The sequence below is a fragment of the Homo sapiens genome, chromosome 10 (genome assembly GCF_000001405.40).
Source record: "Homo sapiens chromosome 10, GRCh38.p14 Primary Assembly".
In the NCBI taxonomy this organism is placed as follows: domain Eukaryota; kingdom Metazoa; phylum Chordata; class Mammalia; order Primates; family Hominidae; genus Homo; species Homo sapiens.
In genome coordinates, this window is record NC_000010.11 from 77540258 (window position 1) to 77552947 (window position 12690).

Sequence of the window (12690 nt, forward strand, 5' to 3'; positions counted from 1 at the left end):
GGCAAAGCTGGGGTGTTTTAAAAGGGAAGTCCAGGTTGGTATCCATATAAAGGCTAACAGTGATTGAGCACCTACTGTGGGCTAAGCACTCTGCAGAACTTACCTCATTGAATAATCAGTATAACATTTTACAAATGAGCAAACTCCTTTGGGAAAAACTGGCACTGTTCAGACTATAATTTGTTCATATAACTTTCACAATGTTCATCTTCTTGATACCATACTTATGGATAAAAATAATACTTAGTGGCTCTTTGGGTAAAAATGGTAATATTAATTGTAGTGCTGGCAGTAGTAAGACTAGCACTAGCAATTGGAATTTATTATGCATTTTAATGACTGTCAGGCATTGTGCTGAATATTTTGAATACATTATTTGAGTAAAAATACTGTTATCACTTTCAATGTTCCCAGAATTATGAAAATGTATCTCAAAAATTTAAGAGTAATCACTAGGAGAAGGCTGGGCATGGTGGCTCATGCCTGTAATCCCAGCACTTCGGGAGGCCGAGGTGGGCTGATCCCCTGAGGTCAGGAGTTGGAGACCAGCCTGGTCAACAGGGCGAAACCCCAACTCTACTAAAAATACACAAAAAAAATAGCTGAGTGTGGTGGTGCACGCCTGTAATCCCAACTACTCAGGAGGCTGAGGCAGGAGAATCGCTTGAACCCAGGAGGCAGAGATCGCAGTGAGCCAAGATCGCACCACTGCACTCCAGCTTGGGCAATAGAGCAAGACTTCCTCTCAAAAAAAAAAAGAGTAATCACTAGGAGAACAGAATATGATCTACAGCTTATGAACCAACAAAATTTAAAAAAAGAAGAAATATGGAACAATTCCTTTAATATAAGACAGGAAAGGGGGAAAGAGGAGCAAAGAAACCCAAAATAAAACAGCAGAAAAAACTCACATATTGTATCAGTGAGTATATTAAGTATAAACGAATTAAACGTACCTATTAAAAGACAGAGATTATCAAACCAGATGAAAACATTAAACAAAATTCAATTATTTGATGATTGTAAGAAACATATAGAAAAGCCTTATTAAAAGATTGACAATAAAAAGACAAAAAATAATATGTCAGAAAAACTCTACCCACAAGAAAACTAGTGTAACATGTAATTAATATGATATGAAACTAATTTTGTTCCTCAAAACAATGCAAGGTAGAATTAAAATCCCTATTTTGCATGAGACTGTGAAATAGAGAAGTTAGGTTACTTGTTCAAGCTCACACAAGCAGCAGGGGCAGAAAAAGGACCCACACTTGGATTTCTATTACTCCAAAGCCCATTCTTGAAACTACGTGACTCTATTGTTCTAAGTAACATTACCTTAGAAACTATTCAGTGTGTAGAAAGTACATGTTCCAAAATCAAGGCTTGAGATAGGAGTAAGGAAAATGGAGAATGGATCATGAGTCACTAAAAAAATAAGAAAGAACAATCTACTGGTTCTCAGTCTTGGAAGCACGCTAGATAGAACACCTAGGGAACTCAAAGAAAAGGCCAGTGATTTGGCCCTACCCTAGACCAATTAACTCCACATGCCTAGGGGTGAGGCCCAGGCATCAATATTTTAAAAGCTTCCAAAGTGATTTTAATGTGCAGCCAGAGTTGAGAACAACTTATCCATTCACTAACTCAAGGGCAAGTTTGCTAAAACATGGAGGGTATCTTTAGGTCATTGTGACAAAGAGAAATGAGAAGATCCTCCAACCTTATCCCTTTGCAATGGTTTGAATATTTGTGTCCCTCCCCAAAAATTTATATGTAGCAATTTTAACCCTTATAAGTGGGATTACTGCTCTATAAAAGAGGTCCCAGAGAGCTGCCTGGTCCCTTCCATCATGTGAGGACACAGAAGGCTCCATGTATGAAGCAGGAAGTGGGCTCTTACCAAAAACCACAAGCACCTTGATCTTGGACTTCCCATCCTCCAGAATTGTGAGAAATAAATTTCTACTGTTTGCAAATCACCCAGTGCAAGGCATTTTTATTATATCAACCCAAATGGACCAAGACAAAAGGAAGAATTGGCATAAAGAGAGACATAAGCCCTTCTTCTGCATAGTGAGAGGATGCCATGCCTGAGAATATGACAGAATCCCTGTGCTAACACCCCCTCCCTGTTTCTTAAAGAGAACACAATGAACCACAGAATCTCAGCACTGGAAAGAATCTTAGGGGAAACTTAAAATGGATCCCAGACTTGGCTGATTGTTAGAACGCCTTGGAAGTTTTATAAAAATATAAATTTCTGTGGCCCTCCCCTAAGGGAATCTAATTCTATAGCTCTGTGTTGAGCCTAGGAAATTGTATTTTTTTAAAAGATACGCAGGGAGGCTTTTGGAGAAAGATGGCAGAGTGTCCCAATACATAATCAGACAAAGCAAAACAAAAAAACAAAAACCAATAAGTGAAGGAGAAAAGCAAGCAGCAATCAAACAAGGAACTGGCACACACTCATACTATCAACATCTAAAAGACCTGGGGTGAGGGTGGGGGCAGGAACAGGATTTGGCAGAAGTTGTCAGGTTCCTAACCCCACCCCATGCTTCAGAAGTATTATTGCTGAGGCCAAAATCTTTAGACTTCTCACTAATTACTATATATTTGCAGAGAAGCAGACTGTGAGTGTGACATCATTTCTTCCTCTTTTCTGACTTAATACGGAGAGAGTTGGGGAAACAGATTGAGAACTATTAGAAAAAGAGCTATAAAACAGCAGCATGAACAATCAAGACTCTCTCTCTTTCTCTCTCTCTCATTCTCTCTCTCTTTCTCTCTCTCTCATTCTCTCTCTCTTTCTCTCACAGAAACACAGGTTCCAGGGCTCAACGCTTAATTGAGGGGATCATCTAAATGGCAAGGACATCCCCTCCTATATCCCCTCATTAGTGGAATGAGCCCTGGAACAGCACATTTAACAAAGTCATGCAAGAGTTAAATGTGGTCCTACCCAAAGGAGCACACAGCTCTGAGTCTGACCACCCTCATCTCCCATGTTCCCCTATAATGCTCCCAGGCATCAGAAAGCATCTCAAACTGGAGCTGACACCATGGCAGAGGTTTCAGGTAAGTCACAAAAGGAGTCCTAAAGAATTTGCCCTCAATATCAGAGTGATTAGAAGAAGTGGACAGAGCTACCCAAGTTAAACATATGCAAGATAAAAAAAATATGGCACTTGTGAACACACACTACAGGAGGAAAATAAGGAACATAATAGCATATTGTGCTATTATGATGATGAAGAACCTCTCTAGAAGAAAACATAACCAAAGAAACAAAGAAAATTCCTGCAAATGTTTAATGCTATAGAAGAAATTAACAAAAACATATATTCAATGAATTCAGAAAAGTTAGCAGGTCAAAGAAAACAAATCAAAGACCAAAATAATCCCATTTTAGATTGTCGAGTAAACTAGAACAGAAAGAATACAACTGGAAATTGAATTCCTACGTAGGGGACATGCTTGAGACTAAACAACTCAGGGACTTGTTAGATATTATCAGCCTTAACAATGTAAAAATAAGCTATAATTAAAATAAGAAAGGGGGTAGGAGGTAGGAAGAAGCAGGTGATTGCTAATTTTTTCATCATTTATAACATGGGCTCAAAAGTCTAAAATTGAAACTAGGTATTAACAGAAAGCAATGACTCCATCTTCTTAAAATTTTTCATAACCTTGATGAGCTCTTCTAAAAGATATCCATTTCAATGAAGACATATTTTTCCAGAACTCAGAACTTCCTTTAGATGTACTTGTTTCCTCTTAGAAATTTAAGCCATGTACGTTAATACTCTTTGTTAAAATTGGGATGTAGAGTGTGATCCCATTATTCTAAAATTATTCCTGTCAATCTGTGATCTACATATCTTTCCAGCTGTGTGTGTGTGTGTGTGTGTGTGTGTGTGTGTGTGTGTGATGATAGAGAGATTACGTGAGTTTTCTTAATGTTCATGATGGTTATGTCTAGGAAGTGAGATTTTTGAGTAATTTTTAAATTTCTTCTCTGAACTTTGATATTTTCAAAAACAATTGTTATAATTGTTTAAAGGAAAAAATTCCCAAGTGGTTGAGAGGGTCACAGCTAAACTTGAAGAGCACGGCATCTAGCCCAGGAATCTGATTCCTGAATCTCCAAAAATCACTCCTGAGAAGAAGCCACACACCAAGCTGCTGTCAAAATCTCCAGTGATGATGAAGCACTCACTATCCTCATATGCCCCATCCCACTGCAGGGCAACTTCAATTTTACAGGACCACAAATTTTCTTTCTACTGCTACCCTATCTTCTAGTAATAATATCCACCTTTCACTGAATTTCCCTAACTGTGAGCTAAGCGTATTCTTTAAATCTTCAGAGCAACTCTATGAAGGTATGAGGTTTCACTATAGTTTTGCCCGTCTTCCTGTTGAAGAGACTGAAGCCCAGAGAAGTAAATTTTCCTGAGGTCCCCCAGCTAGTAGTTTGCAGAGCTGGGCTTCAGCTTTTCATTGTGGTTGAATACAAAGCCTGTGTTTTTAACCAAAATTCTTTGCTAGAAAGTATTGCATCATATTGACCCCAAATCCACTTTTCTATAACTTCTAACCAATGGCACTGACTCTGCTCCCTGGGGACACAGCAAAAAGTCTAATCCCCTTCCATAAGCATTGTCTTCCAACATAGGAAGACAAAAATCATGTGACCCTCATCTACCCCATCTTCTTCCTCCCCAAGTGATCCTTCTGCAGGTGCAAAATGTACCGAGAAGAGAGCATATTTTTTCTGACCCACGATGAAGTCACTGAATGATTAGTTTAAATGGAATCATGAAGTTTCTAATATGTACTTAACTATATGCTATCATTTAAGTTCTGCTTTGAAGGAGTTCCTAATAGTTGGGTTCCTCCGGAAAATCTCCTAAGAGGGTTTCATCCCACAGACAACTCCCAACTCCCTGGGTTAACTGGAGGGGTGCAGTGGTGTGGATAAAGTAATTTATGTCTGACACGGAAATGTATTATATGCATTTTTCAATTTATCTTCCTAATTAAATTTTTTCATAGACTCATATTTAAATGAGTTTCCACTCCCCTAACACATGAGGACTGACAGTGAGTGGAGGGAAAATAGGATAAAAATGTTAAGTAGATTTTCCACCAAGTGTGAATCCTCCACACACGAATCACTGAGGGAATCGCTGGCACTCTGTGGGCTGGGTGGAGGGGTTTTCTTTGGTTTATAAACTCCCCAGAACCTGATTTTCACATGCAGACATGAGAGCCTGTCCAGCCAGCAGAGTATATACTGTCCAGCATCTCCTGTGCCAGGAGCCACAAGGCAGTGGGGCATGGAGGTGCCCCCCGGGCCCTGCCTGGAACATATTCTCCCAGGACTTTGAGCTTCCTGGCAGGGTCATGTTCCAGGAGCCCCGATTTCAGGGAAATATTCTGCTCCCTTGGTTTCACACAGAGGGTAGCAAGCCTCCACCAAAATGCACACCTGTGTTGGCAGCGAGGCTGTGGACTGTGGCCTGGAAAACATGGCCTCACGCCTGGGAAAGCATGCCTCAGCGTAGGAACAGAGACCCAATATAGCTCAGCTCGGACTGAGTCAGGCACTGACCCCACTACCCTGTCCCTAAATCCCCCCTGCAGTGTCCTTGATGTCACCTCCCTGATGTCCTGAAATCCAAGCCCCCCAGCCCCCTGGGGCACAGGCACGGCTCTTCACTCCCTCCCTATGGCCATTCCCCAGTTACCATCTGAACTCACTTATTCCAGGCCCAGGCCTGGCTGTCCCTTGGAGGGAAGGAGAGACACCCAACACCACAGCCCAGAAGGAACCTCCACAGGGAGTCAGTCAAAAGCCAGACACTAAAATTACATTTTCTCACTCCCTTCTCATTTGGAGGAAAGTCTGTGTGGGGCTGGCTGTGATCACACACTTTCATCACACACTTTCTGCATAAGTGAGAGAACTGTCTCAACTGCCTCCTCCTCTTCCTCCTCATCCTCCTCCTATTCCCTCTCCCTCCTCCACTGAATTCCCAGCTCACTGCCTCCCACTAGTTCACAGTGTGCTAGGGCCCTCCAGCCCCACCGAGAAGCCACAGGAAGCTCTGATCCACCCCCACAGGGAAAAAGGGATCAGAACCACCACCCAGCACAGATATAGGGGCCTTGTGTAGGGGACCAGCCAGGGAGCCCCTCCATCTTGAAGAATCTAAGTCACGAGGACAAGCACAGGAGCAAAGCAGGCAGCCTGAGCTATCCATGTCCCAGGCCACTGCCGGCCTGTTCTGAAAAATTTCACACAAGGTTATCCCCAATATTCCCAGACATGTGTCCCTTCCCCGGTGCTGCATGGCCCCCACACTGGCTGAGTATCTCCAGTGGGAGAGGAAAGGACAGACCGACTCTTAGGAATGCCTGCTCACTCCGTGGTAGCATGTCCCCTTCAGGCCTCCTTTCCCATCTTTGAAAGTGAATCCTGGGTGGCTCCCTGTCAGGGGAGCACACAGATAACCCAGCCCCAAAGATGGCGGGGCAGACCTGGGCATTAGCAACTGGAGTTCTGTTTTCCCTTCTAGGCTACCTACTATGTGTCGGGCTCTGTGCTTGGTGCTTTGTAAACCCACTCTCATTCCATCACCCAGCAACAGTGAGACCCAAAGCTCAGAGAAGTCAAAGACTTTGCCTGAGGATCTTACCTACAATTAATGGCACATGGTCAAGACACAAATCTCATTCCAGAAACCAAGATCTTTCTACCACACCAAATGTTTCCCTAAAGAGAGCCCATAACTCCACACAGGAACCCAGCCCAGCCTGGATAACCCATCAGAACAGAGGAAGAAAACTCCTCTGTCAAAATGAAAGATGCTAATAGCAAGGGTGTTTACTAGGAGTGTTCAAATTTCCATTAAAACCTTCCTGTGCAAAGATGAGCTACGAAAATTTCCTTCTTGGAAGCTTGTACCTCCTGGAATCCAGACATCTACTTTCAAGCTGCTGAAGGCTCCCACTGCCTCCCCACAGGGCTGCAATCCCGACCATGGATTATTAAGGAGTCCACAGGCTTGGCTCAATGAACAGAACGGCTCCGTTATATTTCAACCTACCCACTAAGACTTAAATATCACACCCTAGTTCAGACAGCCCTCGCCTTTCATTTTTCTTGGCTTTAGGAAGACAGGGAGGGAGGGCATACAGAGCCAAGAACCCAAGTGTCTGAGCTTTTACAGTAACCCAAACTCACCCAAGACAGGCTGCCCAACCGGGCCCACCTCTGTGTGGCTTCTCCAGATCAACAGAAATTTGGGGTGAAAGCCTGCTTTTCTCCATGCAGTAAGGCATCTGCATGAAAGGCACATGTTTCCAGGACCTTCCAAGCTCTTTCTTGAGTAAATATTCTCTTAAAAAGGTTTTGAAGCAGAGGCTAAGGAGAGGAGTCAACATGGAATTTTATTTCTCTTGGATTATCTGACTCAAGCAGCACCCAAGACTAGCAAGACCAAAGATGGGCTGACCCAAAGATAACCATTTACAACAGGAGTCAGCAAACCAACAGCCTAAGGGCCCAATCCAGCCCGATGCCTATTTTTATAAATAAAGTTTTATTGGCACACAGCCATGCTCATCTGTTCTGGGGTGTCTGTGGCTGATTTCATGCTACAAAGGCATAGTTGAGTGGCTGCAACAGCATGGCCCAGAAAAGCCTAAAATCTCTATTATCTGGCCTTTTACAAATTAAAAAAAAAAAATTGCCAACCCTTGATTTAGAAAAACTTTCAGATGTAGTTAGGCCTATTTCTTGAGCCTTTTTAAGAGCAAATAATATCTCTGGAATATATTTGGTATAGTCTTATATGGAGGGAAAAGGATGAAAAAAAATGGCCCCTGAGTTTCCTTCCAAATCCACAGGAAGCCAAAAAAGGAATGAGGTGCCTGGTACAAATGCCTCAGGTGACAGACATCCTATTTACAGAAAGGCAATCTGTGCACCACCTCAGGGAGGCCAAACCAACATGCCTGGTGCAATCATGCAGCCTTACCCTGCAACCACGCCCAACACTTGGAAGCCTAACGTGGACAACGCCTGGTGCAAGAGGGCATGTGGTCAGATGTTCCACCCCCACTTAGCTCAGGGGCAGACAGAAGGCTTCTCCAAAGCTGTCCCTTGGCAGGATTTCATGTAGCAGATGCCACTAGTCTACAGTCTCTACAGCCTCTGACTCCCAGCATGTACACATGTAGGTGTGCACAGAGGCCCAGAGAAGCAGGGTCAATGGAATCCATGAAGCTGACCTGGTGGCAGCTCAGGGTTTATTCCCTGCTTCCAACCTACCAGCAGGCACAACTCTTGATAGATCTAACAGCACACTGGGGATGGAGCACTGCATCAGGACTGAGGAGACTCAGGGTCTTGCCCCAGCTCTGTGGCTAACTCCTGATGCAACCTTAGAAGAGTCATATCATGTCTCTGGGACTCACTTTCTTCTTCTGTCAAATGGATTAATACTACCCACTCCATCTAACTCACAGAGCTCAGTCATGCAACAAGTAATTATTGGGCATCTACTATGAGTCAGACATTATGCTAAGCACTTGGGATATAGTGGCAATCAAGATGGACAAATTCCCTGCCTTGTGGAGCTTACACTCTGGGGTTGGTATGGAAACTAATAAGGGATGCATAGATGAATACTTTGAAAAATCATGATGTGCTTCACTTGAGTCGTGGATGGTGATGCTATCTTCCCACTCTGGGCCATTCATGGACTAGACTCACACACTGAGCAGACCTGCTGGGAACACATCACTGATAAAAGTCATTCATTGGGAACTATTCTAAATGCCTTGTATGTATTAACCTCACCATCACAGAGAGTCCTCAACACTGAAGTAGGAACTCTAAATATGCATACTCCACAAACAAGGAAGCTGAGGCCTGGAGCACTGGAGCTAAAAAGGAAATATGTGTCCTGTCCCTTATGATATCTCCCATACTGGCTGGAGATGTTGAATTTACTATATTAAATTCTTCTCCATTATCTTGAGGAGTAAGGCCAGGACCCTTCAGATGGAGAGGAAGTCTCTCTCCCTAGATGGGGAAGGGAAGTTCTCCTTCCCTAGTTCAATCATCACAGAAAAGGAAAGCATCTAACAGGAAAGTAGCACCCAGAAGAGAGGCCTTAAACTCCTTGGAAGAGGTGATCCTCCTATCTGCCTCTTTGGGCTGAACTCTCCTAGCAGGGGATTTTTAGAAGGGTGGATAACCAGTTGTGGGCTGCAGTGAGAAGAGCGAACCCAGCCCATGAAGAAGGCCAAAAAAATGAGGACTCTGGCAGGGTCTGTGAGCTAAGATGAGCTATGCCCTACAGGGCAGTTATCTAGCTCTGTCAGCCTCCATTCATTTCCTTTTTTCTGTCTCCACATTTTCAGTAACGTCCTGTCTAAACATCCCACCAGACTCTCAACGCAACATAGACAATTAGCGAAAGGTTAGAAAGTCATGCACCCAAGCTTGGCCCACCACAGTTAGAGGAAAATGGCACCACCTTAAAACTAGTATGTAGGTGTTCGTACTAAATACGTGAGAAATTCTCCCAAAGGAAGGTGAAGCTGGAGAGAGTCAGGGTCATCCAACTACTTTTTGCCCTCTCAGAGCATTTTCCTCCTTGCCAATGCTGGACAATGAAAGCACTAGTTTATTCAGGGAAATCACAGTTTCCTTTTTAGAAGAGCAGGATGCTAAGAAGGGAGCAAGAATAAGTTGAAAACAAATGGAGTAAGATTCAGCATTGTGCACGCACCCCCAGCCCAGCCACCCAAGAGATTCTCCCAAGCCAGGCAGTGATGCTCACATCTGGTCCTTCACCACCAGGACCAAGTCAGAGCAAAGGAGAAAAGAAGAGAAGGAAGAGACAGGAGCGCACTGGATGGGAGAGTGAAGGGTTGGAGAAGAGAGGGATCCCAGCCTACTCCCAAGCCCAGTGGGATCATCTTCCCCTAGGAACTCCCATCTGATATTGGCTCTGGTTGGGGCTGCCTCTCTCCCAGCACCTGCTGGGTAGACTTCCCCATGTTTGGTCCTGGGAGGTGCTGTAGCAGCTGGAGCTGTCCTCTTTCTGCCGCTGGAAGCAACTGGAAGTCCCAGGGGCCCTGGCGCTCCCTCTGGGATTTCACCCTATTCTTTCCTGTCTCGCTTTCTCTTTTATCTCCTGGATTAACTTACTGTTGTGCCATCTACCCAGTTGTCAGTGTGCCTGTCTCAGCTTTGTGATCTCACGTAGATCCACAGAACCTAAGAGCTGGAACGGGCCCTGAAAACATTCTGGAGCAGGCGTCTCGGCAGACTCAGGCATGCCTCTCCCCAGGGAACCAGGCCGCGTCTGGGCAGAAGCAAGGCTTGGGGGAGTGGCAAGGATTGTGTGTACTCCCTCGAAGCACATCTTCAGAAGTGGAGCATTTTCAAGGTAGGATGTTGACATAATTGTTAGGTCCATGAAGGCAGATGCTAGAAGCAGTGTGAAAATAAGACTCTGAGGTTGTCCAGGTGGGGGGCTATTTTTATACATTTCCCCCCACAACCCAAGCAGTACATGGGCCCTAGCCCTCAAGCTTCACCTCCCAGATGTAAGACTCCAACCAAGATTTTGGAGTCAGGGGCATACAAAGCCCACTCAGGGGACACACTCATAGAGTATTCAACTGATTCAGAGATGTGGGAAGAACGCTATTCCTATTTATTTTTTTGTAGAAACAGGGTCTTGCTATGTTGCCCAGGTTGCTCTCAAACTCCTAGGCTCAAGTGATCCTCCCACCTCATCCTCCCGAGTAGCTGGAACTACAGGAACACGCCACCACACCCAGCTACCACTATTTTTATATTAAATAAAACATGTATCATGGAGTGACAGGAAAAACCTATGCAAGTTTAAGTAAATATTGTACTTAAAGTGGGTGACTTTAAATTATGCTCTTATATGTACAGGGGAAGGACAGAGGAAGGGCTCATTTACCTTCATTCTTCTCTCTCCCTAGAGAATTCTGTGTATCCAATTTTAAAAATTCATCATATGTCACAGACAGAGGCACAGACCCCCTGAGCCATGGTGGGAAGATACTTCTGGACAAATGTATACCCAGCAAAAATCTCAAAAGCTCCAACTTTCTAATGGCTTCATTTTACTGATGAGAAAACTCAGACCTATAGAAAGAAGAGCAGAAACAGACTGGATCCCAAATCCCTGTGCCCCACAGTTGATGCTCTTTCCACCTCCAATCTGAGGCACTGCTCTCCATGTGGCCAGGAACCGTTTCCAACTAAACTGGTCCTGCCTAGGGCCTGGAAAAACACACTGTTAATATGCAGCCTTAATTAAATATTTCTGATGAGCACAATGATGCTTCAAAATTCTAGCTAGGATTCGACTGATGCTGCAGCCTGGAGCCATCAAGGAAGAGCCTCTTTCCCCTAAGCATGGTGTGTGTGGAGCTTGCTGGGAAGACTGAGACCTTCCAATCCAACCTGGCCAGCACATCTATTCAAGCCATCAACCAGAGGACAGATGTAGAAGTCACCTTCTCCTTCCAGGGACCACTCTTGGAAGCAGATTTCCACAAAGGGGACCGTACAGTTCTAAGCTTACAGATGGTTAGAACAGACCAGCCCCACTGGAAGGCCAGAAGTGACGAGGATGAGGTCAAATGTCAGTGACAGAGAGGCTCAGACCTCTCTGAGCCATGGTGGGAAAAATCTCTCTGACCCATGGTGGGAAAAATCTCCCTGAACTAATCTGCAATTTCCAGGCATTTCTGACCAGTAAGGAAAGGATTTGGTTGCAGAAGGCTGGGAAGCTAGATTGTAGACCAAGAGATGGAGAAAACTCTTCAAGGGGAGAGCCCAGCCACTACAAAGGGGCCCAGCATGAGGTGTGCTGGAGGTACCCTGAGGGCCGTGGCTGCCTGACTGACTTATCCTCTACTTTGGGAAAAGGCAACTCAGTGCCTGGATTAAACCATTAGCTCTGGAGGATGCCTGTCTGGTTTGAATCTTAATTTCTCCATTTCCCAGCTGTGTGACCTCGATAAGATTACTTCATCCTCTGGGTCTGCTTCCTCATATGAAAACAGGAACAAGAAGTGCATAAACACATTTCAGGGATGTAGGGAAGACTAAAAGGGTTAATATAGGGCAAGCACTTAGCACAGTGCCCAGCATAGAGCAGTACTGTCTAGGCTGTAGCTACCACACATACCCAGTGAAGGCACTCAACTACCAGGTGGACAAGCAACTGATACATGTGTGTGCTGCTCTCTGCTCCCCTTTGGACATTTGGAATTTCAAGTACTGGGACTTAATACCACAGAGGGCAGAGTTTTGTTTTTCCTGCCTTTGACATGATGTTTATGATCTTCTTTTCTTGTGAACACCCCAGACCTAGGGACCAGCGGTGGCCTGGCTTCCTGATGCAGCCCATGAACACATTTAAGAATCCAAAAAGGTTAGCCAGGCGCAGTGGCTCACGCCTGTAATCTCAGCACTTTGGGAGGCTGAGGCAGGCCGATCACTTGAGGCCAGGAGTTGAAGACCAGCCTGGCCAACATGGTGAAACCCTGTCTCCACTAAAAATACAAAAATTAGCCAGGCATGGTGGTGCACACCTGTAGTCCCAGCTACTGGGGAGG

At 44.6% G+C, this 12690-nt stretch overlaps 1 protein-coding gene across 53 annotated transcripts in view, besides 1 other annotated feature; it reads right to left on the reverse strand.

The window, feature by feature from the left end:
• The window catches only part of KCNMA1 (potassium calcium-activated channel subfamily M alpha 1), a 768207-nt gene that overhangs the window by 670656 nt on the left and 84861 nt on the right, over positions 1–12690 (reverse strand). The gene's annotated exons all lie outside the window — the stretch shown is intronic.
• Positions 5604–6104: an enhancer, noted in NCBI's record as "H3K4me1 hESC enhancer chr10:79305619-79306119 (GRCh37/hg19 assembly coordinates)". NCBI's record gives its function as "activates a minimal SCP1, AML or CMV promoter by ChIP-STARR-seq in naive H9 embryonic stem cells {active_cell/tissue: H9 hESC(naive)}" and the evidence as "EXISTENCE:reporter gene assay evidence [ECO:0000049][PMID:30033119]".